This window comes from Homo sapiens, chromosome 2, assembly GCF_000001405.40.
Source record: "Homo sapiens chromosome 2, GRCh38.p14 Primary Assembly".
Taxonomy (NCBI): Eukaryota; Metazoa; Chordata; class Mammalia; order Primates; family Hominidae; genus Homo; species Homo sapiens.
The window spans coordinates 64,864,960-64,891,471 of record NC_000002.12 but is presented as its reverse complement, the minus strand read 5'-3'; the positions used below and the strand labels follow the sequence as shown (position 1 = coordinate 64,891,471).

Here is a 26,512-nt window from a genome sequence, read left to right as displayed (position 1 = left end):
ATGGTGGGCGCCCCTCTCCCAGCCTCGCTGCTGCCTTGCAGTTCGATCTCAGACTGCTGTGCTAGCAATGAGTGAGGGTCCATGGGCGTGGGACCCTCTGAGCCAGGTGCAGGATATAATCTCCTGGTGTGCCGTTTGCTAAGACCATTGGAAAAGCACAGTATTAGGGTAGGAGTGACCGATTTTCCAGGTGCCGTCTGTCACAGCTTCCCTTGGCTAGGAAAGGGAATTCCCTGACCTCTTGTGCTTCCTGGGTGAGGCGATGCCTCGCCCTGCTTTGGCTCACGCTCCGTGGGCTGTGCCCACTGTCCTGCACCCACTGTCTGACAAACTCCAGTGAGATGAACCTGGTACCTCAGTTAGAAATGCAGAAATCACCTGTCTTCTCTGTCCCTCATGCTGGGAGCTATAGACTGGAGCTGTTCCTATTGGGCCATCTTGGAACCTCATGGAAACTCTTATTATTAACTGAGCCAGGCCAAGGGATAGGAATAGCTCTGGCTAAGCGGTGGCCAAGGATGTGGGCAGAAGACAACCCTCCAGGGTTGGCAATCAACCAGGCCCCCATACTCATAGAATTTAAGCCTGGGGCCCAGCCAGTCAGGCAAAATCAGTACCCGGTCCCCAGAGAAGTTCTTGAAGGTATCCAGGTCCATCTCAAGTGCCTGAGGGCCTTTGGAATTATAGTTCCTTGTCAGTCTCCATGGAACACTCCCCTCCTGCCTGTTCCCAAGTCAGGGACCAAGGACTACAGGCCAGTGCAGGACTTGTGCTTGGTCAGTCAAGCTACAGTGACTTTGCACCCAATGGTACCTAACCCATACACATTGTTGGGGTTACTGCCAGCTGAGGACAGCTGGTTCACCTGCCTGGACCTGAAGGACACTTTCTTTAGCATGAGACTAGACCCTGAGCGCCAGAAACTGTTTGCCTTTCAGTGGGAGGATCTGTGGTCAGGTGTCACCACTCAGTACACTTGAACCCAGCTTCCCCAAGGGTTCAAGAACTCCCCCACCATCTTCAGGGAGGCATTGGCTCGAGACTTCCAAAAGTTCCCCGCTAGAGACCTAGGTTGCGTGTTGCTCCAGTACATTGATGACCTCCTGCTGGGACACCCCACAGCAGTCGGGCGCACCAAGGGAATGGATACCGTGCTCCAGCACCTGGAGGACTGTGGGTATAAGGTGTCCAAGAAGAAAGCTCAGATCTGCCAACAGCAGGTATGTTACTTGGGATTTACTATCCGACAGGGAGAGTGCAGCCTGGGATCAAAAAGAAAGCAGGTCATTTGCAACCTACCGGAGCCTGAGACCAGAAAGCAGTTGAGAGAATTCTTAGGAGCTGTGGGGTTCTGCAGGTTATGGATCCCAAACTTTGCAGTACTGGCCAAGCCTCTGTATGAAGTCACAAAGGGGGATAACAAAGAGTCTTTTGAATGGGAGTCCCAACAGCAACGAGCTTTTCATGAGTTAAAAGAGAAACTCATTTCAGCCCCAGCCCTGGGGCTGCCTGACCTGACAAAGCCATTTACACTATATGTGTCAGAGAGAGAAAAAATGGCAGTTGGAATTTTAACCCAGACGGTGGGGCCCTGGCCAAGACTGGTAGCCTACCTCTCCAAACAACTAGATGGAGTTTTTAAAGATTGGCCCCCGTGTTTGAGGGCCTTGGCAGCAACTGCCCTGCTAGCACAAGAAGTGGATAAACTAACTCTTGGGCAAAACCTGAACATAAAGGCCTCCCATGCTGTGGTGACTTTAATGAATACCAAAGGGCATCATTGGCTCATGAATGCTAGACTAACTAGGTACCAAAACTTACTCTGTGAAAAGCCCTGCATAACTATTGAAGTTTGCAACACCTTGAACCCCGCCACCTTACTCCCGGTACCAGAGAGCCCAGTTGAACAGAACTGTGTAGAGGTATTGGACACAGTTTATTCTAGCAGGCTGGACCTCCAAGACCATACTTGGGCATCAGTAGACTGGGAGCTGTATGTGGACAGGAGCAGCTTTGTCAACCCACAAGGAGAGAGGTGTGCGTGATATGCAGTGGTAACCCTGGACGCTGTCATTGAAGCCAAATCATTGCCCCAGGGTACTTCAGCCCAGAAGGCCGAACTCATTGCTTTAATTTGGGCCTTAGAGCTAAGTGAAGGTAAGACTGTAAATATTTATACTGGCTCTCGGTATGCCTTCTTAACCCTCCAAGTGCATGGGGCTTTATATAAAGGAAAAGTCCTGTTGAACTCTGGGGGAAAAGACATATATCAGCAAGAGATCCTGCAGTTATTGAGGCAGTATGGAAGCTCCAAAAGGTGGCAGTCATGCACTGCAAAGAACACCAGTGAACTTCCACCTTGATTGCATTGGGCAACTCCTGAGCTGACTCAGAGGCTCGAAAATCAGCATCCACCCCCTACCGGGCATCAGTCACAGTCCCCCTGCTCCCTCAGGTACCTGACCTTGTACTTACTTAATCTAAAGAAGAGAAGGACCTTCTCCAGGCAGAGGGAGGGCAGGTGATAGAAGAGGGATGGATCCAGTTGTTGGATGGAAGAATAGCCATGCCATAACTGCGAGGAGCCGCAGTCGTACTGGCTGTGCAGGAGACCACCCACCTAGGTCAAGATCACTTGAAAAGTTGTTGGGCCAGTACTTCTACATCTCGCATCTGTCAGCCCTTGCCAGAAATAGTGGTGCAGCAGTGTGTTGCCTGCCGGCAGCGCAGTGCTGAGCAAGGTCCAACCATCCCACCCGGCATACGAGCTTCTGGAGCAGCTCCCTTTGAAGATTTCCAAGTAGACTTTACTGAGATGCCCAAATGTGGAGGTAACAAGAAATTGCTAGTTCTAGTGTGTACATACTCTGGGTGGGTAGAGGCCTATCCAACACGGACTGAGAAAGCTCGTGAAGTAACCCGTGTGCTTCTCTGAGATCTCATCCCTAAGTTTGGGCTGCCCTTACGAATCAGCTTGGACAACGGGCTGGCATTTGTGGCTGACTCGGTACAGAAGACAGCAAAGGTGATTGGGTGTGGATCAAGGATTGGAACATAGCCCCGTTGCGGCCACAGTGGAAAGGACCCCAGACCGTTGTCTTGACCACCCCCACAGCCATAAAAGTAGAGGAAATCCCAGCCTGGATCCACCACAGTCACATAAAGCCCGCAGCACCTGAGACCTGGGAGGGGAAACCAAGCCCAGACAACCCATGCAAGGTGACTTTGAAGAAGATGACAAGCCCTGCCCCAATCACACCCGGAAGCTGACGGGTCCACGCATGGCCAAAGCATGAGGAAACTCATCGTGGGACTCATTTTCCTTAAATTTCGGACTTGTGCAGTAAGGACTTCAACTGACCTTCCTCAGACTGAGGACTGTTCAAGTTACTGAGTAGGGCAAAAAGTTAAAACAGTCTTTCTGTTTTATAGTTATTATGAATGTACTGGACTCTAAAAGGGACTTGTGTGTATAATGCCACCCAGTACAAGGAATGCATCCCAGGAAGTGACCAACCTGATGTGTGCTATAACCCGTTAGAACTACTTGATCTCCGTTGGAAAACAGGAGAGTATGTAACTCTAGGAATCGATGGAACTGGACTGGCAGGAAGACCTGGGTTGTGAACATGACAGTGAGAACTCTCACTAGTGAATGAGGTTCTCAAAGGGGGAAATGAGGAGCGAGGCCATTTCTCTTACTGTCTCCTGTCTCTGAAGAGAAGGAGGAAGTAAAAAGTTGAAAAACAACAGGAATGAAGTCAGTGGCAAGGCCAGCCAGTGCCACTGATGACCAGGCCTGAGGTTAAAAGGTTAACCCCCCACTCTAACCACATCTGCTCTTAATCTATCACAACCGTTTCATGTGGAACCCCTTAGAGTTGTAAGCCCTTAAAAGGGCCAGGAACTCTGGCTTTGGCGAGCTCGGTTCTTGAGACATGAGTCTGCCGAAGCTCCCGGCTGTTGAGACGTGAGTCTGCCGAGGCTCCCGGCCAAATAAAGCCAAATCCTTCCTTCACCCAGTGTCTGAGGGGTTTTGTCAGTGGTTCGTCCTGCTACAATAATATTACAAATAGGCACGTTATTGTGAATAATCTTCTTAACCAGCAACATTTATAACAGGACTACTCTCTGCCAGGCCCTGTGTTCAGTGTTCCACGCACACTATCCGCCCCCTGCCAAGGCCTCTCAATAGCCTTCCAATGTGGGAAGTAGGTACCTTTATTTCATCACTGATTGTCACACACATCATTATTTTATATACTGTTAAAAAAGGAAAATAAAGTCAATTAATTGACACAAAGTATTTCTTAGCCCTTAGAATTTTTATTTTACAGTTCTGAAAGAGCTCTTTTAGATTTCCTTCAACAGAGATGGTTACTGCATACCACTCTTGTGCATAGATAATAGGGAAAATACAAGTGAAATGAACAGGTGAAGATACTCCCCAAACTTCCTCTGATCTAGGGCCCACTCTTGGGATCACCATGGCCCAGTCCTTGAGATCCGAGTTTTACCCACAGTGCTGTCCTTTGTGGCAAGAGTGTTGGTACGGTGGCATTGCCTCAAAGAGGCTCCACTCTTGTCTCTGGGGTTCTCTATCTGGCAGCTGACATCCCATCTGCGAGTTCTAATGTGTATGTCCAGGTGAGAATGACTACATTCACAACTCCTGCCAGCCCCACAAACACCTTAAAACACATCTCTATTTCAGAGATGTTAAGATGTGAAAAGGGTATATCTTAGAGTCCTTGAAATAAATTAGCAGTCACTTAAATTATTCCCATTTTAGAGATGAGGCTTAGGAAACTTTAATAACTTGCCCTTTAATAAGTTCATCCTCGCTAACAATTGGCAGAACCAGGATTGAACCCAATCCACCTGAGTCCCTCTGACAGTGTCCTCGGTGAGGAGGAGGTCTCCAGGCCAGGGCCCAGTGGTGAGAACAGAAGAAGCAGAACCACAAACTGTCTTATGCTGGCCTAACATAGAGAACCTCCATGGTTTATCACAAACAGCAAAGGCAAAAGAATGCCTATTTTCCTAGTTACAAGACAGATTTCACCACAATGCAATACTACTTACTACTTCACCACAATGCGATTCATACCCTTAGGATGGCTATAATTAAAAAAAAAAAAAAAAAGAAAAAGGACATTGTCAACTGCGGGTAGGGATATAGAGAGATTGGAGCCCTCATACATTGCTTTTGGGAATGGGAAATGGTGCAGCTGTGTGGAAAACAGCTTGGCAGCTCCTCAAATGGTTAAACATCGAGTTATGAGCCCAGCAATTCTACCCCTAGGTACCTGAGAGAATAAAAAACCTACGTTCACACAAACTCTTGCAATGAATGTTTATAGTCATATAATAGGTAGCTAAAATGTGGAATCAACAGATGAATGAATAAACCAAATGTGTTTCCAGGCAACAATCTATCTTTTCTCTATTGCAGAGGCTAAAGCAACTAACTCCATCTTGGATGCTAATCTGCCATTTTGACTTCTGATAAACCCATTTGGGGAATGCCTCTAAGATTTCTACTTTACTACTTACTGTAAATCCTGCTCTTAGGCAAATTCCTTTTGAGGCATGGATATCTTTTCCCTATGGTATATAAGCCCTGGGCCTGGGGGGTAATGGTGTGGGGATTCACTGTCTCGTACCACCAGGAACATGGCTTCCATTCCTATATCCCTATTAAATGTTTACTTCTGAGAAGCTGGATTGCCAGCCTCTTTCTCTGGCCTCTCAACTCCCTTGGCCTTTGGAGGCAGGTTTGCATAGACCTAATCACTGCAGAATAGCCATAAAAATGAATGAAGTACTGATGCATGCTATACCAGGGATGAATCTTGAAAACATTGTAAGTGAAGCCAGACACAAAAGACCAGGTATTGTATGGTTCTATGTATATGAGATGTCCAGAATTGGCAATTCTGTAGAGATAGGAAGAAGATTAGTGGTTGCCAAAGGCTGGGTAGGTGGGAATGAGGACTGAATACTTGCTATGATCTGAATGTGTGTGTCCCTCCAAAATTCATATGTTGAAACTGAATATGTTGAAAGTGAATACCCAGTGTATTAAGAAGTGGTACCTTTGAGGAAGTGATGAAGTTATAAGCACTCCATCCCAATAAGGGAGACTATTGTTCTTATAAAAGAGGTCAAGGCCAGGCCTGGTGGCTCACACCTGTAATCCCAGCATTTTGGGAGGCCGAAGCAGGCAGATTGCTTGAGCCCAGGAGTTTGAGGCCAGTCTGGGCAACATGGTGAAACCCTGTCTCTACAAAAATTACAAAAAGTTAGGTGACAGCCGGGCACGGTGGCTCATGCCTGTAATCCCAGCACTTTGGGAGGCTAAGGCAGGTGGATCACTGGACGTCAGGAGTTCGAGACCAGCCTGGCCAACAGGGTGAAACCCTGTCTCCACTAATAATACAAAAATTAGCCAGGGGTGGTGGCACATGCCTGTAATCCTAGCTACTCGGGAGGCTGACACAGGAGGATCGCTTGAACCCAGGAGACAGAGGTTGTAGTGAGCGGAGATCATGCCATTGCACTCCAGCCTGAGCAACAAAGGGAGGCTCTGTCTCAAAACAAAACAAAACAAACAAACAAACAAAAGTTAGCTGAGAGTGGCGGCACATGCCTATAGTCCCAGCTACTCAGGAGGCTGAGGTGGGAGGATCAGCTGAACCCAGGAGGTTGAGGCTGTAGTGAATTGTGATTGTGTTGCTGTACTCCAACCTGGGCAACAGAGTGAGACCCTGTCTCAACAACAATAAAAAAGAGATCAAAGGGAATGCCTTAGTCCCTTTTCCCCTTTCACTTTTATGCCATGTGAGGACACACAAGAGCACCTATCTTGGAAGCAAAGATGGAGCCCTCACCAGACACCAAATCTGCTGGCTTTGATCTTAGAGCTCTCAGCCTCCAGAGCTATGAAAAATAAATATCTGGGCCAGTGGCAGTGACTCGCACCTATAATCCCAGCGCTTTGGGAGGCTGAGACAGGTGGATGACCTGAGGTTGGAAGTTCGAGACCAGCCTGACCAACATGAAGAAACCCCGTCTCTACTAAAAATATAAAATTAGCTGGGCATGGTGGCTTATGCCTATATCCTAGCTACTCGGGAGGCTGAGGCAGGAGAATTGCTTGAACCTGGGAGGCAGAGGTTGCAGTGAGCCGAAATCACGCCATTGCACTCCAGCCTGGGCAACAAGAGCGAAACTCCGCATAAAAAAAAAAAATTAAAAAATAAAAATAAGTATCTGTTATTTCTAAATTACCCAATGTTGGGTATTTTGTTATAGCAGCAGGAATGGACTAAGACACTGCCAATAGGTACAAAGTTTCTTCTGGGGGTGATAAAAATATTCTGGAATTAGATAGTGATAATGGTTGTACAACATTGTGAATATACTAAAAACCACTGAGGTATACACTGTAATTAATTAATTAATTAATTAAAGACAGTGTCTCACTCTGTTGCCGAGGCTGGAGTGTAGTGGCATCATCACAGCTCACTACAGCTTCAACCCCCCAAGCTCAAGTGATCCTCCTGCCTCAGCCTCCCAAGACCACAGGCATGCCCCACCATTCCTAATTTTTTTTATTCTTATTTTTGAGGAGATGGGGGTCTTGCCATGTTGCCCAAGCTTGCCTGGAACTCCTGGGCTCAAGCAATCCTTCTGCCTCAGCCTCCCAAAGTGCTGGGATTACAGGCATGAACTACTGTGCCTGGCCCAGTTATACACTTTAAAGTGCTGATTTTATGTTGTGATAATTATATCTCAATTTTTTTAAATCAAAGAACTGATTTACTTCTCCATCCACACTCCTTTGGGATAATAAAAACATAACTGGAGGCCTGGCGCAGTGGCTCACGCCTATAATCCCAACACTTTGGGAGGCCAAGGCAGGCGAATCACGAAGTCAAGAGATGGAGACCATCCTGGCTAACATGGTGAAACCCCATCTCTACTAAAAATACAAAAATTAGCTGGGCGTGGTGGCACGTGCCTGTAGTCCCAGCTACTCAGGAGGCTGAGGCAGGAGAATTACTTGAACCCAGGAGGCGGAGGTTGCAGTGAGCCGAGATCGCGCCACTGCACTCCAGCCTGGTGACAGAGTGAGACTTCATCTAAAAACAAAACAAAACAAAAACATAACCGGTCACCTGTCAAATGGAAAGCATTGATGTGGACTGGCCCTGGTGGTGAGGGCAATACAAAGGCTGAGCTGTAAAAATTCACATTCTATGTGGTCTACCAGGACCTCATGAAAGCAGGCTTTGTTTCCATTTCTTTACCTCCTGTCACTTGCCGTATTTTGATAATGCTCTAAATTACAGGACCTAGAACTGGTCTTTAATTACAGAGTACTTTAACAGGGCTTGCTGGCGAATACCATAGAATTACAGGAGCCACTAATGAAATACAGCATCATTTTATCTGTTCTCTGGTGGCAGCTTTTAAAATGCAATTAGAACCGTGTAAGATATTTATTTAGGATTTTATCTCATTTATTTATTCCATCTCCAAATGAATGTTGTACTTCCAGCTGCCTTTTTACTCCTTCACGCGAGCATTTTCTTATTTTCAATCCACTCTTTTCTCCCCTGTTAGACTTCAGGGAGCCAGGATGTCAGCAGCCTGGAGAGCTGAAGAAGGGAAGCAAACATCTTCAAGACGTCTCCCGGCCTGCCCACTGCTCTGCCCAGGCTTGGAGGGAGGGAGAAAGGGACACAAAAGTTCATGTCACACTCCAGGCTAAAATTCTCCCAGGTGCCCTACCATTACCTACAGGCAAACAGCCTAATTCCTGTTTTCCCAAGACAGGAGAAGCCCTGCACAACCTGGCCTGGCCTCTCCCATCCCTGTTCCAGGCATGCTTTCTTGTGTGGATCACTCACTCCCACCCTCAGAGGGGCCAGGCATTTCCACACCTCTCCACTTTTGTCTCAAATAAAAATATTCTGGAATTAGATAGCGATAATGGTTGTACAACATTGTGAATATACTAAAAACCACTGAGTTATACACTTTAATTAATTAATTAATTTAAGACAGTGTCTTACTCTGTTGCCGAGACTGGAGTGCAGTAGCATCATCACGGCTCACTGCAGCCTCAACCTCCCAAGCTCAAGTGATCCTCCTGCCTCAGCCTCCCAAAGCCACAGGCATGCACTGCCATGCCTGACTAATTTTTTTTATTCTTAATTTTGAAGAGATGGGGGTCTCGCCATGTTGCCCAAGCTTGTCTGGAGCTCCTGGGCTCAAGCCATCCTCCTACCTCAGCCTCCCAAAGTGCTGGGATTATGGGCATGAACTACTGTGCCTGGCCCAGTTATACACTTTAAAGTGCTAATTTTATGTTATGATAATTATATTTATAGCATTTAAAGCCCACTCAAGTGTCATATCCTCTATAAAAGCCATTCCTTAGCCTCTTCTGTCACCCAACCCATCTTCCCACCCCAAAACAGATCCCATTTCTTCTAGGATCCCTTTGTCCATACTCATCAATACCCGCCTGGTCCACTGCATGGTAGCCAGCAGTATGTGTATCTCCCCTTCAAGGGTGAAGCCCTGGAGGGCGAGAGATATGAGTTCATCTTTGTGTGCCCCAGCGCCACAGCCTGCATGCTGCATATAAGAAATGCTCAACAAATCTTTGAAACCATTTCAACTCTTTCCTATGCAATAGAGCTGTCAATGTATCTGTGTCTCTTAAACCTCTCCTTCTGCCTGAAGACACTTTGGATTTATCTGGCTTGTGACCAGGCGGCTTCTGAACAAATAGGGACTTTGATCAGTTTCACAAGGTGCCCACAAGTGCCAAGCACTGTGCTGGGAGCAGTGGCCATAACAGAACTAAATGGCATGGTCCCTGCCTTCAAGGAATTGATAATCCAGTAGTGGGAGATGAGGCAAGAGTCCATACCCCTTTATCCACAGTTTCACTTTCCGTGGTTGCAGTTACCCATGGTCAACTGAGGTTCAAAAGCATTACATACAATAAGATATTTTGAGAGAGAGAGAGAAAGGGAGAGGAAGTAACCACATTCACATGACGTTTTTACAGTATAAGTGTGAAATGCCTTTTGATGAGAGTGATGAGGAAGATAGGTGGTAGACACAGCCCCTCCCCTCACTTCTGTAGCCTTAGTGCTGCATTGACCCTTGGAGTCACCTACTCGGAAGGATGTTCTAGAATAGTGTGCTAGGAAGCTCTTCTTTGTGTCCAGTGGAAGGATGTTGTTGAGGACGCTGGTTAGCACTCTGTGTTGACAAGACGAGCCATGCTGAAGACTTACATCTCTGTATGTACAGAAGAGAGCTCATCTGGCTCCAGGCAACGTCACCATACCAGGTTTGCTGCCCGATGTGTGGAAAGTGATGACACCAAGACACCAAGGTGCAGCACAGAAAGAGGGTTACTCATAAAGCAACCAAATGAGGAGATGAGAGTGAACTTCAACTCTGCCTCCCTGAGGAGTTGGGGCTAGAGATTTTAAGGGGTCTGCATGAGTGTGGGGCTGAGATGTGGGGATCATTCCTTGGCCAAAGAGTGCAGGGTGAAGCCATGGGATGGGGGGAATGAAACTACATTCTCATGCCAATTTGGTTCCTCTGTGGGGGCCTTCAGATTGGTTGGCGTCAGCCATTCCGCTGGAATTCAGGATCTGAAAAACATCTTAAGCAATCCTTAAACGAAAGCCTTATGATGCTAACCTCAGAGATCCTATCCATAAGAACAATGGGAATGCAAATGGTCATGTGTGGCTTTTATTTAGCAAGCAGCTACAAGGAAGTGTGCCAAGTGCAGCCTGATTAATGCTTAATTATATTTCTGTCAGAACCTGGCATGTAATTTTTGTTAACCCTGTGATGGTTTCAGCAAGAGACCAGGCCACACTTTCCAGCGGTGGTGTTTTCCAAGGAGGTGAAGCCCATGCAGGTGGCTCCCTCTTCTCTCTCTTCTTTCCAAGTGACCCTGGCATAGGCAGACGCTTCCCTCTGAGCCAGCCCATCCCTGTCTCCCTTTCTGTATGGACATCCTTTCTTCCTCCCTCCTGGCAGCAGGCTGAAGCAGCAGCATCGGCACACAGGAAACACACAGCCTCTCACCCTGGCCCTGCTGGGGATCCATTAGGCCAGGCTGCCCAGATCACGGTGGCGAGATTGGAGACTCAAGTTGGGGTGGCGGCTGTGAAATCGAGCACGCCTCCCAGGCTGCTTCGTCAGAAGCCATTTAGGCCTAACTGACTTAGAAAAGGGAGGCTGTTCTGGGAATCAAAATCTAGCTTCCCAGAGTTTTCTCTGCACTGGAGTTGGGGGCCCAAGCCCCAGATAATAGTGTTACAGACATTACATGCCATTTGCTCATGGGAGCCTTCTCAGCACATATATTCCTTGGGAACCTCACGGGACCAAACTGCTTGGATTCAACTCCCATTTCCTAATCAGTTGTGTGGCCTTGGGCAAATTACTTAACCTCTCGGTGCCTCAGTTTTCTCATCAGTAAAATGGGCGTAAGGTCATTGTCTTAATAAATTTACACACGTACAGCACTTTGGGCCACAGTTGGTTCATGGCTAGCACTAAACTAATGTTAGCTGTCGCCACTCCCACCTAAGGCCAGTCCCTCCAGGAACCTGACACTTTTGGTGTTCCATCTCTTCTTCTCAACCATATTCCTGTCATGGTGGGTAGCACCCCTGTTCATCCAGTTGAGCCAGCCACAAGCCTAGAGGTCACCCCACTCCCCATCCCCACAAACCGTCATCAAGTCTCATCAACCTTATTAACTTCCTTAAAAACTTCCAGATCTGTTCCCCTCTGTCCTACTCTACAACTTCTCCCCAGAGCTAGCCCAGTAGCCCCCAAGTACAACCATCCCAGCCACTACCCATTTCCACCCTGCGGCCAGAGTCCTGCTTTGAAATGCAGACCTGATCTTGTCACCCCTCCCTGGACTCGCCCTGCTGAAATCTCTTAATGACTTTCCACTCCTCTTGGGGTGAAAATCAAAACCCTAACACCATGCAGACTGAGTCTGTTAGAATATTTTTGACCCTGAGGATCAGAAACCCTAGCAAACCAGATTTAAATTACAGGCAGTTTATTAGCTTCCTCACAGGTAGACTGGATAGGGTGGGCTTCAGGCATTGTATGATTAAGGCTCTAGGAACACGTCCTGCTATTCTCTCAGCCCCGCCTTCGTCTCCAGGTGCCAGCTTTGTTCACGGTTCAGCTAGCATTCTTTTGATCAATATCAAGTGAAACACTTCCAGAGAAAAAAGGGAACATCCTGCCCAGCCATGAAATAAAACTCCTTCCTGTCAGCCTGAGTGAGCCAGCTGAGGCCATGTGCCCATTCCCAACCAAAAAATTCCTAGTGACATGCGTACACTGAGTCCTTCCATGCTCTGCCTCTGGTGGGAAATGGGTTCTTCGGGACAAAAACACATTGAAATCATGCTGAAAGATACAACTAGTATTAAAAAAGCTTTGCTTGAATGATGCACAACTCTGAAGAATATGGAAGAGATAACCATGAACCTTATAGCTCCCCACTGTTCTCAATGACGGATCTAGGATCACAGGTTCCCAGGGCCTTGACCCCATGGAGATGAGCAGCAAGAGCCAAGGGCTGGAGCACCAAGGGAGGACAAAAGGTGAGGGGCTTGCTGGCCTCAGAGGAGACTCAACGGATGTGATGGAAAAAACAAGAACGTGCTGCCGTAGCGTCTTCTGCACCCGGGCTGGGTTCTCAGCCTGCTAATTGTTTTCTTTCTGAAAATGGACTAGCCACCACAAGACTTGAAAGCAGGGACTCGAACCGCTATTTGTACATTGATAGTCACAGCAGCACTATTCACAGCAGCCTTTTGGTGAAGCCTTTTGATTCACCTTTTGGTGAAAACAACCCAAATGTCCATCTACGGAGGACTGGATAAACAAACTGTGTTGTACACATATGATGAAATATTATTCAGCCTTGAAAAGGAAGAAAGGAATGAAATTCTAACACGTGTTAAATAAAATTGATAGGCCATTTTTTTGGGCTAAGCTTCTGCACTAGGTCCCAGTAAGACCAGAGTTAAAGTCAAAATGGAGTCACCCATGCTAAAGTTTCACATCACTAAACCTAAATTATTATCTATAGTTCTGAGAAATCAGGAGAGAGAGATAACAGCCAATTTCCCAAACAGGCCAGCTTCAATCTTCAATAGACAGGATAATGAAGTTCCCTCTGCCTTAATCCTTGCACACAAAAGGTAGCCTGGCATAACCTGAGGTTCACTGATCAGTGATTTTTCTATTTTTTCGATCTCCTTGTCTGTGCCTTACAAGGAAAGTAGCTTTAAGTGACTAATACACTTGGCTCTTTGCTTCCACTCCCGCTAGTTCTTTTCTGTCTGTAAGGCCAACCTCTCTGCTCAGCTCATCGGAACATGTATTTTTTTTTTTTTTTTTTTTTTTTTTTGAGACAGAGTCTCGCTCTGTCACCCAGGCTGGAGTGCAATGGCTCTATCTCAACTCACTGCAACCTCCACCTCCCAGGTTCAAGCGATTCTCATGTCTCACCTCCCAAGTAGCTGGGATTACAGGCCCATGCCACCAGGCCCAGCTAATTTTTGTATTTTTTGTAGAGACAGGTTTTCATCATGTTGGCCAGGCTGGTCTCAAACTCCTGACCTGAAGTGATCCACCCGCCTCAGCCTCCCAAAGTGCTGGGATTACAGGTGTGAGCCACTGCGCCCGGCCCAAAACATGTATTCTGTTTTATGGAATGAAGTATTGCCCAATTTTAGAATCACAAATAAAGTCAGTTAAGATCCTTAAACTGGATTCGTTGTAATTTTGTGTTTTGACATATGTTACAACATGGACAAACCTTGAACATATTATAATAAGTGAAATAGGCCAGACACAAAAGGACAAATATTGGATGATTCCACTTACATGAGCTACCTAAAGCAGCCAAATTCATAGAGACAGAAAGTAGAACGGTGGTTGCCAGGGTTGGGATGGCAATGGGAGGCAGAGCGAGGAGTTATGCACCCAGTTTCAGAGTGTGGGATGGTTAAAAAGTCCTAGCCATGGCGTGGTGGCTCACGCCTGTAATCCCAGTACTTTGGAAGGCCGAGGTGGGTAGATTGCTTGAGGTCAGGAGATTGAGACCAGCCTGGCTAACATGGTGAAACTCTGTCTCTACTAAATATACAAAAATTAGCCAGATGTGGTGGCATGTGCCTGTAGTCCCAGCTACTCGAGAGGGTGAGGCAGGAGAATTGCTTGAACCTGGGAGGCAGGAAGCTGCAGTGAGCCGAGATCATGCCACTGCACTCCAGCCTGGGCAATAGAGTGAGACTCTGCCTCAAAAAAAAAAAAAAATTCTAGTGCTGGAAGATATTGATGGTTGCACAATGGGAATGAACTTACTGCCACTGAATTGCATCGCTGGGAAATGGTTAAATGGTAGATTTTATGTTATGTATATTTATCACACAGAAAAAAATAGATCAGCCAGATGTGGTGTAGCCCCAGCTACTTGCGAGGCTGAGGCAGGAGGATCGGTTGACCCCAGGAGTTTGAGGTTATGGTGAGCTATGGTCGTGCAGCCTGGGAACAGATCGAGACCCCAATTCTAAAAAAAAAACCTTATGAACAGTAGAGGGGCAACAGGCGAGTCTCAAAGAATAACTATTATTGATTGATTCACCGATCTGGATTAAAGACATTTTTAGTGAAATACTTTCATTAGATCTTGCGATGATGATAATGCTCGTTCCCAGGCCTCCCAACGCACGGAGTCCCAAGGCAGCGTGTGTGAGAGTGAGCTCCTCTCAGTCCCTGCACAGACTAATCCTCAGTAACAACCAGTCCCTCTGAATCATGGCAGGCTCTTTGTGAGATGGGCGTTTCCTCCTTCTGTTCTCTGCAAGGAGGAGGCTGGGGAGTGGCAGGAGGGAGAGAGAGGAGGTGGAGATGGGAATTTCCTCTGGCCAGGCAGGAAAATACTGTGAGGAAACCAAACTGTTCCCATTCATGGAAAATGTCCTTTCCTCCCCACTTCATGTTGCCAGAGGGTTGTTGGAGCAGCTGTCACCAGTTGGGTGTGACTCATTAGTTTATCATCTCTCCCCACCCCTATTCCCAACCCCCTCCCTCCAAACCCACCCACCCTGAAAATGCCTGAGCACAGTCTACTATTTTAAGAACTGAATTCCCTGTCGGCATGGCAACTTCAAGGCTGTACCTCTTGTTAGTGACTGCCTGGATGGAAGAAAAGCCACCTTTCACCAGGGCTCCAGCCAGCCTACAGCCGAGGTTAGACCCAGCCACAGGGTGTCTGTCAACCTATTCTTTTTTGTGTGTCTGCTTGTTTTACAACCCTTCAAAAATGTAAAAACCTTTGGGTAAGAACAATCCTAATGACACTCATCAGATCCCAGAAAAGGTGTTGGTTGATATGGACAGCAGGACAGTGGCCAACTCCCCCGTGGAAAAAAATAAAATTACATTAAACATTTGAAAAAATATGTATAATGATAGAACCATTTTTAGCTTGCTGGTCAAACAAAACAGGTCAGGACCGTAGTTTTGGGTTTTGGGGTTTGGGTTTTTGATTGGTTTGTTTTTTTAGAATTTAAAGAGAGTGACAATATGCCTTCATGTTAATTATTTAGCAAACAGCAATACAAAATCTGAATTTTAATTCCTCCATTTTTGATTAATGTGTTTATCTTACAAAGTAAATGCACAATAGCAAAATCATATCTTTAACGTTATTCAAGGGCCATCTTTTAAATCTGTGGAAGAAGTCTGATTAAACCGTTCCCAAGAACCATAGTTTACCCAACCCCTGCTGCAAGACAAAAGCAACAGGTGTCAACACTGTATTTCTCACTGTGGACATTTGAAAGGTTGTGAGGAAGAGGAGGCTGCTAGGGGAGAAGATGGGAAAGGGATTGTGGAAGAAGGACAATATGATTGATTTTTAAAATTTCCCTCCAAATCTACACATTTTTATTATACTTTAAAGATTGATTTAGATTCTTCAAGTACTCCAAAATTAAAGTCTTCAGCTATGCCACCTTCCCGTACCCCAGATAATGATTGAGGCTCACAATCTACGATTTCCACTTGTAGAAAATGACATTTACTGCATAACCTCTTCTCTTTCTCTCTTTTTTTTTTTTTTGCAAAGGCCAGATTTCCTTCAGACATGTTGAAGAAAGGATGTATTTTTAATGTTTCCCTTTTCTGTTTGTTCTCTGAATTTTTTATTTTTATTTATTTTTTGTCACAATCAAGATAATTTTCAAATAAAAATTTTTAAGCATATTTTAAGCATATGCAAAAGTAGAAAGACTAATGAAATAACCCCTCATGTACCTGATACTCCTAATTTATATTTAAAGGGCTTTTCTGTGTAAATTAAAGAAATGGTTCTACTTGCTTAAAACATGGATTCAAAGGGAAGAAAGGCTGAGCACACGTGTAATCCCAGTTACTTGGGAGGTTGAAACAGGAAGATTGCTTGAGCATAGTAGGACTCCATCTCTATTTAAAAGAAGAAAAGAAAGAAAGAAAGAAAGAAAAAGAAAGAAAGGAGGGAGGGAGAGAGGGAGGGAGGGAGGAAGGGAGGAAGGAAGGGAACAATACCTCTGCAAATGGCATTTGTACAGAATCCAGTTCTAGGTCATGCCTGAAGTGCTGGGTGCAGGTGAAGGTGGGAGGAACATCTGTAGGTAAGAAAGGGGGACCACTCTTTGATGGTTACCATGGAGACCACTAGGCTAAGATGGTTGAGGTCATTTATGGGGCAGTCAGGTTACTGCTAATGGACTCTGGGTCAGAACTGTAGGATAAACCTCACTGTCTCTGAAATTCCCTCACCTGCTTCCAATAGTATTATCAATTTGAGGATATTCTCATTCTGAATTTCTAGGGTTTGATTAAAATAGAGACAACAAACAAGCAAAACGAACAAGCAAAACAAACAAAGTGTTAATCTGCATACTCACTTTGAGGAGTTCTGGGATTTCTGGGATTTTATAGTTGACTACTTGAGTCCTGTTTACAACAGTAGGGCCCCTAAATCCCCAGAAGAAAGTCCTAGGAGGACTCATGCAGGTCTTGGGGTATTGATCCTTATGTGAGGATGCTGAAAGTATAGCCAGTGACATGCAGTCCAGAAGAGCAGGGAATCTAGCTAAGCCAACAAGATTTGGAGAGTTGGGACTCGCTTTACCCCTCCTGAAGGAACTTGATCCCAGTGTAGAATATCCATCAATTGCCAATGTCCAGGGTTACTTTATACAACAGATCATTTGCTATAGGGCAGATCAGTAAGAAGTGTAACTTTGGCATGGCACTGCCTGGACTCAGGTTCAATCTACAACATATATTATTTCTACTGTGATGTACTCTCTTTAAAAAAAAAATTGTTTTTAAAGAGATGGGGTCTTGCTATGTTGCCCAGGCCGGTCTCAAACTTCTGGGCTCTAGCAGTTCTCCCGCCTCGGCCTCCCAAAATGCTGGGATTACAGGCCTGAGCCAATGTGCCCAGACTGATATACTGTCTCTATCACCTACAAATATGGTTGGCCAGGGGAAGGATGTCTAGTACTCTCAAAGGGCAGGTACACAGGCAGAAGCAGGCTGGGATTAGTCATCAAGGGATAAACATGAGCAGAGGGGACAGGCAGAAGGCCACCCGGGACCTAGACTGCTCCTCACGGTGATGGGGTCCAGGCCTGAGGTCCTTAGTGAGCATTCTGACGCTCCGGAGGAAGAAGACTGCACCGGCGAGGGGCGGCCACCAGGGGGTGCGCAGGGGCCGGAATTTCGGGAACCTAGGGCTGCGGCGGGAGAGAGGCAGGGGTGGCCTGGCAATGACAGGTATGTTATGGGCGGCTGCTGACCTGTCGCTAGCTCCTACATAACCAGCAGTTCCTTAAGGGCAGTTATTGTGTTTTAGTCGCATTGCTTTCCCAACTGCCCATGAGCCTCGTTCTGAGGTTTGCTCTTTCAAGAGTCAAATGGATACGTTTTCACTCTGGGAGGAGGGGAAATGAGGCAGCGCTGCTCAGACTTCTTGGTCTCGGGGCACCTTTATACTCTTAAACGTTACTGAGGACCTCGAAGAGCTTTTAGTTTGTTTATGTGGGTTGTACCTCTCAATAGTTACCAGTTTGTAGATTAAAACTGAACCGGCCTGGCCAACATGGGGAAACCCCATCTCTACTAAAAATTTTAAAAATTAGCCGCCCTGTGGTCCCAGCTACTACTCGGGAGGCCGAGGCAGGAAAATGGCTTGAATCTGGGAGGCAGAGGTTGCACAGAGCCAAAATCGCGCCACTGCACTCCAGCCTGGGTGACAGAGCGAGACTCTCTGTCTCTCAAAACAAAACTGGCCAGGCGCGGTGGCTCAAGCCTGTAATCCCAGCACTTTGGGAGGCCGAGGCGGGCAGATCAGGAGTTTGAGACCAACCTGGCCAATATGGTGAAAACCCGTCTCTACTAAAAATATAAAAATTAGCCAGGTGTAGTGTCGCATGCCTGTAGTCCCAGCTACTTGCGTGGCTGAGGCAGAAGAATCACTTGAACTTGGGAGGCGGAGGTTGCAGTGAGCCGGGATCGGGCCACTGCACTCCAGCCTGGGCAACAGAGCAAGACTCCGTCTCAAAAATAAATAAATAAAATAAAATAAAATAAACTGAAGCAGTCACGGTGGCCCATGCCTACAATCTCAGCTACTTGGGAGGCTGAGACAGGAGGATGCTTGAGCCCGGGAGTTCGAGGTCAGCCTGGGTAACACAGCACAGACCCCTGTCTCAAAAAAAAAAAAAAAAAAAGAAACGTTTAAAAAGTGTAAAATAAAATAGAAACCGACGGCCGGGTGTGTTGGTTCATGCCTATCATCCCAGCACTTTGGGAGGCCAAGGTGGGTGGATCACCTGAGGTCAGGAGTTAGAGACCAGCCTGGCCAACATGGCAAAACCCCATCTCTACTAAAAATACAACATTTAGTCGGGTGTGGTGGCACATGCCTGTAGTCCCAGCTATTGGGGAGGCTGAGGCAAGAGAATCGCTTGAACCTGGGAGGCGGAGGTTGCAGTGAGTCAAGACTGGGCCATTGCACTCCAGCCTGGGCGACAGAGCGAGACTCCGTCTCAAGAAAAACAACCAAAAAAACAAAATGGAGAATTTAAAAAATTTATTTATTTATTACAATAATCAACCTGCTACATGTTAACATAACATTTCTCATTTAGAAAAATACCTATATTTTCCAAAACAAAAAGAAGTTTGGCCCTCTTTTATATTTCTGCAATTTTAAAAAGTGTCTAGCTTAATAAAAGACAGATGGAGTCTCATATCTGCTTTTGCATTCAGTCTGCTGTGATATCAGACTGAGTTTCCCCAAAGCACGCAGCTTTGTACACTCAAGAGAGAACAGGGTGAAATGGGCAAATAACATCTCATATGAAAGTAGTTTTGACCCTGCAGACCCCCTGCCCATTTTGATATTAAGTAGAGTCTAAATGCCATATAGTGTTATTTTGGGATGAGGATCGAATTGCTTTTTGTAAAAGGAAGGTTGCCTTTGGTGAGGGCTGAGGGCTGAGCACCAGTTTACCTGAAGTTCACCCATAGGCAAAGATGTGATGTCCACAGCCAGGGATGCTAGAAAGCAGGGCCTCCGCTGGTGTAGACACACACGTGCTTCATGTCTATTCCCCGTCTGTGAGCAGTAGGGCTCTATTGCAGTTAACTTGTCACTGCTTGCTGTCCTAAACTGCAGCTGATAGAGGAATGGCCAGAGGCGTAGGAAAAGGTTGACTTGCTGGGAGGAGAATCTTGTTTTTCTGATTCAGGTACTCTGCTGACTTTGAAACCATAGGGTTCTTATCAATCCAAAAGTATTTCAAGACAGGCTGGGCACGGTGGCTCACGCCTGTAATCCCAGCACTTTGGGAGGTCGACGAGGGAGGATCGCTTGAGCCCAGGAGTTCAAGGGAGGATCACTTGAGCCCAGAAGTTCGAGACCAGCCTGGGCAACATAGTGAAACCCCATCTCTTACCGAAAAAATGAAAAACAATTAAACTAGTATGGTGGCATGCATGTATAGTCCCTGCTACTTGGGAGGCTGAGGTGGGAGGACCACTTGAGCCCAAGAGTTCAAGGCTGCAGTAAGCCGTGATCACGCCACTGCACTCCAGCCTGGGTGACAGAGCAAGAGCCCATCTCAAAAAAAAAAAAATTATTTTTTTCAGAACAATGGCCCCAACATCTCTGTACCCCTAGGCCTGCCCTGGTGGGGTTGGGAGGGCTGTGCAGAATGTCCCATCTGAAGGCAATGTGGGAGCATTGAGTAACAGATCATGCAAATTTCTTCCCAGTTATTTTCCTCCCAGGGTACCAAACCGAAGGGATGATTGTAATCACCTGAGGAACTTCCTAAGTATACTGATTCCTGGTCCCACCTCAGATCAACCAGGAGGGTAGCCTGGTTTTTAATGTTTCCAGCAATTCTGGTACCACCAGGCTTGGGAGCCACTGGCCTTCTCTAACCCTGTCTACAAACTCAACAAAGGCCCTCCATCCTTAGGGCCTTGAAATCACCTGGAGCATATATTTAAAATTTTGAATTCCAGCCTGTATGGTGTGCATACCTGTAGTCCCAGTTACTTGAGAGGCTGAAATAGGAGGAATGCTTGAGCACAAGTGTTCAAGTATAGCCTTGTCAACATAGCAAGACCCCCATTTCTAAAAAATAAAGTAAAATGTGAATTTCTCAGGCCCAATCCTTAGAGGCCCAATATCTAGATTGGGTAGATCTGGGATAGCCTCAGGAACAAGTTTTTAACCAATAGCCCAGTTAATTCTACTGTAAGGGGACTAGGACCACAGTTTGCCTCCAGGGTTACTGCAGTCTGTGTGTCACACTCCATGTGTCACAGTCTGGGTGCCACAGTCCTTGTGTTGCCCATGAGTGACACTTGGCTGGGCGCGGAGGCTCACACCTGTAATCCCAGCACTTTGGGAGGCTGAGGTGGGAGGATTGCTTGAGCTCATGAGTTCGAGAGCAGCCTGAGCAACACGGCAAGATGCCCATCTCTATAAAAAATTTAAAAATTCACCCAGCGTGGTGGTGCATGTCTATAGTCCCAGCTACTTGGGAGACTGAGGTAGGAGAATCGCTTGACACTGGGAGGCGGAGGCTGCAGTGAGCCATGATTGCACCACTGCACTCCAGCCTGGGTGACAGAGGGAGACCTTGTATCAAAAAAATTTACCAAAGAGTTACACTCCACGTGTCGCCGTGTGTGTGTGTCACAGTCCATGGTGTGTCACAGTCCCTGTGTCATGGTGTGTCACAGTCCCTATGTCATGGTGTATGTGTCACAGTCCGTGGTATGTCACAATCCCTGTGTTGTGGTGTGTGTGTCACAGTCCATGGTGTGCCACAGTTCCTGTGTTGCGGTGCATGTGTCATAGTCTGTGGTGTGTCATGGTCCCTGTGTCACACTGCGTGTGTTGCCATGTGTGTGTCACAGTCCAGTGTGTTACTCTGTGTTGCAGTCCATGTGTTACAAAGTGACTTTAGGGCCCCACTCAGAATCAGCATAATCTTAGCCTTCTCTCCTTTATCCCCTGAGCAACCAGATGCCCTCCTGGGAGTCAAAATTTAAATCCAGGAGTTCCAAGTCCCCTCTGATGAAGGTGACAGCCTTCTTCCCCAGTCCCAGGACTGTGTACTCCAAGAAGATCCCTTTATTCTCAAATCCCGCCTGGGCCCCAGCCTGAGCGCTGGTCATGCCACTGTGGCCCGCATTCACCCACTTGCCTTCTCCCCACTTTTCTACCATCCTTCTGATTTGGTCTTGGGGGTATGTGCTTGTGGACAGATACACATCCATCTTTCAAAAGAGCTCAGCTAAATGTGCACCAGGAAAAAAAAAAAAAGTGGACTTAGGAGCTCACTCAGATTTCCTTACACAGAGCCCCGCCCCACCTTCTCCCCCTGATTTCATAGAGGATATTTTAGTCTCATCTTCCCACAAGGAGCCGCTCTTTGCTCTCCACCTCCACCGCCCACCTCCAGCCATTGGTTTGGATGGCCACCAGCCTGGGCGGCTCACAGAGTTTCCTACCAGGACTCCTAGAGCCCTGGCTCCCTGGGAAACAGCCCCTGAGATCCGCATGCAGCCCGCAGCCCTCACCCTCTGCTGCTGCCTCAGCTTTCACCATCACGTGTGCCCTGCAGGACCCACGTACGAAGGGGGTGAGTGGTAACTCATTTCATGAATTGCGTTAAGCATCAAATCATGATGTGTGTGTGTTTTCTTTTTACACTTGTGTCTATGCACACACACACACTCTCTCACACACTCACTCGGGATGAAGTTGGGTTTGTCTGTTTCTTTAAATCCCTGCTCAGCTCCATTATCTGTGGTCTGAACTGCATGGGGACCATCAGCAGAATCTGGGGTTCTCTGATGTCAGTTTTGGAAGACTTGATTCAGGGAGAGACCTGGTGAAAATGATGAAGCACACCCATCAGGGCTATCTCCCAGCTCCCATGCTAATTACAGCCGAATCTCTGGGGGTGGCCCTGGCTCCCCAGGGCTGCAGTGTCAGCAAGGCTGAAGAGCACGGCCCCACTCTCAGTCCTCAGGTGCAGCTTCCCTTCCTCCTTCCCTCATTTCCGTGGGTTTTCTTGGTTTGGAGACCATCCAGAAGAAGCGGGTCTAACCCAAGGAAAAGGGAAACTATCAGAATGAAGTCCTCATTCATTTATTCAGCCTCTCTTTAATCAACATTTATTGGGTATCTACCATGTCAAGCCCTGGGCTAACTATTAGAGGTACTAGGTTGAAAATAAAACAAAGGTACAGGCCCCAGAAGTGTAGTGGGGGTAACAGTTATCAAACTAGCAACTGCAGAGAGAGCTTAGCTTGTTCCCTAGGATGTTGGCCCATCTTGCTGGACCAGGGGCGGAGGGCTGTATGAGTGATGCAGGCCATTGTGGGGAGTAAGGATTCATCCACAGCAGTTTCCCCTGTAGGAGGGGCAGCTTCAGATACCACAAGAGTCCTTTGAGAGCCCTCAGCTTTCAGGCCCAGGCTCTTTAATTCTTCACGTTACACTTCATCGGCTCTGTGCCAGGTACTGCTGTCACACCCATTTTACAGACAAGGAAACTGAAACTCTGAGAATTAATTCGATCGTCTAAATCCCTCAGGAAGAAGAGCCAGAAGCAGTCCTGGGGTCTGTGTGACTTCAGAGCTCTTTTTGTGACAGCTGACCCGTCCCAGCTCTAGACAGGCATGCTTTCTTTTTTTGAGACAGGGTCTTGCTCTGTCGCCCAGGCTGGAGTGCAGTAGTGCAATCACCACTCACTGCAGCCTCAACCTCCCAGGCACAAGTGATCCTCCCACCTCAGCCTCCCCACTAGCTGGGACTATAGGGGCATGCCACAATGCCCAGCTAATTTTTTTGCATTTTTTGTAGAGACCTGGTTCCACCGTGTTGCCCAGCCTGGTGTCAAACTCCTGGGCTCAAGTGATAGGCAAGCCTTGATGAAGGAACTGGTAAAAACTGACAGGACCATTTCGCTGGCACCTCAAAGGGGCCCTGCCCCTGCCCGGAGAGCTGGCAGTGTGAGGCTGCTGGTGTCAGCAGTGGTGAGTGGGGCTTTGGGGCTACTGTGGAAGATGGTGCTGCGGCTGCAGCACTCCTGGTGGGCAGCCAGCCATCATCTCCTGGGCACAATAGCTGACATTTATTGGCCACTTACTATGTGCCAGGCACTGCCTAAGCATGATATAATTTATCTAATATTTACAGCTACCCCCAGTTTTACAGAGTAGGCAACTGAGGCACAGAGAGGTAAGATAATTTTTACGGGGTCAGATGCTGGTAAATGCGGAGCCAGGATTTGAACCCAGGCACGTTGACTACTGAGCTTGTGCACTTAAGCACTGTGCTAGACTGCCTGTGTTTGGTGTGTCTGAAGGATGTCATATTTTTAAGTGCATTTTGCTTCATTGATAACGTGCCCCAAGAAAGAAGACAGCCAGTGTGGTAGACTGCACACATGGCTGCAGTACTTTGCAGCTCTTTCCATTTCGAGTGAAGTCCATTTGCCCACCCCTTGTGTTTGGCCCACCTTGTCACTTACTTTGATGAAGAGAATGCGGTGGAAGGGAAGGTGCGTCCGTTCCAAGCCTGGGGCTCAAGAAGTCTTGTAGCTTTTGCTCTTCCCATCCGTGGAAGCCTACTGCCATTGGAAGAAGCCTGGGGTAGGCTAGCCTGCTAGATGAGAGACACGTGGCCGGGTCACCCTTTCACCCCAGCTGACAGCCTGCCAACCACCAGATGTGTGAGGGAGGCCATCTTAAACCATCCGATGACCTGCCAGCTCACCACAAACACAGTGAGCCCAGCAGAGCCAAGCCAGAAGAACCGCCCAGCCGACCCACAGAGTCATGAGCAAATAAATGTTTATTGTTTTAAGCTACTGAGTGTAAGCCACTGGGTGGCTCGTTTTGTAGCAACAGATAACTGATACAGCAGGAGACACTTGAAAGAAGAGGAAGCTCTGGAGTTGGAGGCATTCCCACCGGACAGTATGGCTAAGTAGAAACCCTATGAGCAGGAAAAAGACGGATTCAGAGGACAAAGGGGAGAAGCGGGAAAGACCCTGCCTGGGTCCTTCAGAAACCCAGCACCCCTACTTCTGGCTTCTGCCAGATGGAGGAGTGGCAAGAGGAGAGAAATTCCAGATAGATGATGGGAAGCCGAAAGCAGGGGTTCTCTGCTGACTTTGGGAAGACAGTCCCCCCACCCCACCACCAGCACAAGGCAGCCGCCTCTTGACAGATTCAGTGGTGTTGCGTATTGTACAGAAAGGACTTGAGAGACTCTCTTGAACTTCCCCAGGACCCTGTGTGCTATGGAAGGGATCCAGATACTCCCACTGGGCTACTGCAATGATTGGGACTAGCGATAAGATGCTGTGAACCTCCAATCAAGCAGGATTGTGAGAATGGGAAGTAGAATGATTGGAGAAAGGTTTAGGATGCAAAGGGTAAGAAAACTTGGAGCAACTGAACTAGAGGGTCTGGCCACTGCGGGCGGGGCATCCTGAAGAAACACTGCTTGTCAGAGTACAAAAGGATGCCTGGACAACCAACAACAGGAATAAAAAAAAGATTAAACGCTGCTTATTAAACGCCATTACCATATAGTATGTACACATCATGGCGTAATCATGTCTCTTTGGTGACGTTGGTGATTTCTTGATGTAGCCTGCCATCTGCCCTTGTTTTAAGGGTTCCCCTTCCTTGAGGCATTTGCATTTTAAAAGGAATCAAAGCCTGCAGGTGAAGGGATGATGCTGGATTGGTAGAATTTCAGGCATTCATTGAAAATGGATCAAGGGTTTTCTTTTATGTTGGCTCCTTCCCTAGGTTCTTGACTTCGGCGCCAGCCACGAAACCACAGAAAGCATCCCCCAGGACCTTGGCGTTGGACTCCTTTCATTCCCTTCCTCCCAAAGTGTCCCACTGTTGCTCTGACTTGGGGGAGCAGGGGTCTCCCTGGCCCTCCCGGCTGCTCCCGGCTCAGGAGCGTGGGAGGTGAGGGGAGGTGAGGGGACACGGCCGGGGGCGGCTCGGTAGGGGCCCCGCGCGGCCGCCAGGGGGCGCTGCGCCGCCGCCGAGGCCGCGGCCGCCTGGGCGTGTGGCCTGGCGTGGGCACTTTTGTGTTGTTTAGATGCCAGCGTTCGCCGCTCACTCCTTTCTCAAACATGTTTCTAATTTACCCAGTATGTCTTCTACGGAAAAAAAACTTCAGGGAAAAAAGATGCATGCTTAACGTCAGTGCCAGGGTGGGCAAAAAGGGGTTTTGACACCAGATGCAGGTTTAGTTCCCGAACCCTCCGGGCCTGGGGTGAGCCGCCAGCAGGCCCCCTCCACAGCCGCTCCTCCCGCTGGGGACAGAGGCGCCTGGAAACGCACACGCCCGAACCCGGCCGCCCCGAGAGCCGCGCGTGGAGCCAGCACGCCCGCAGGCGCTCCTCCTGAAAACGGGTTCGGTTTCTGGCCGGGCAGGTTCAGAGCCGGTGCCCAAGGAGGGGAAGGACGACGCGGCACAGAACCTGGCGCGCCCACGGAGGGGGCCTAGCCTGGGCTTCTGGCCTTGCCCGGGCACTGCCGGCACTCCCGGGGAGCAGAGAGGCGGAGGGGGCACTGTCCGTGCGCCGGGGGCAGCCACCGGGCACAGGGCGGGGTGGGGGAGGTGCGGGAGGAGAGGAGAGCCAGAGTCCGGTCTGATGGGGGTCGGGGGGGACGTGGGAAGCAACAAGCCTGACGCCTGCAAATAGAAGTCATCAGGAAAGAGACCTCAAGGCCCATTTGACTGCTGGGAGGTCTCCGGGGTGGGGTCCTGGGGGGAGGAGTGTCTGATTGGCGGCTAGGT

At 47.9% G+C, this 26,512-nt stretch overlaps 2 annotated features.

The window, feature by feature from the left end:
* Nucleotides 15,233–15,439: a silencer, noted in NCBI's record as "fragment chr2:65103167-65103373 (GRCh37/hg19 assembly coordinates)". NCBI's record gives its function as "represses an EF-1alpha promoter that drives an FKBP-Casp9 reporter gene in an ReSE screen in phorbol 12-myristate 13-acetate-treated (for megakaryocytic differentiation) K562 erythroleukemia cells {active_cell/tissue: K562(+PMA)}" and the evidence as "EXISTENCE:reporter gene assay evidence [ECO:0000049][PMID:32094911]".
* Nucleotides 25,655–25,854: a silencer, noted in NCBI's record as "silent region_11569". NCBI's record gives its function as "represses an Ori minimal core promoter by ATAC-STARR-seq in GM12878 lymphoblastoid cells {active_cell/tissue: GM12878}" and the evidence as "EXISTENCE:reporter gene assay evidence [ECO:0000049][PMID:35858748]".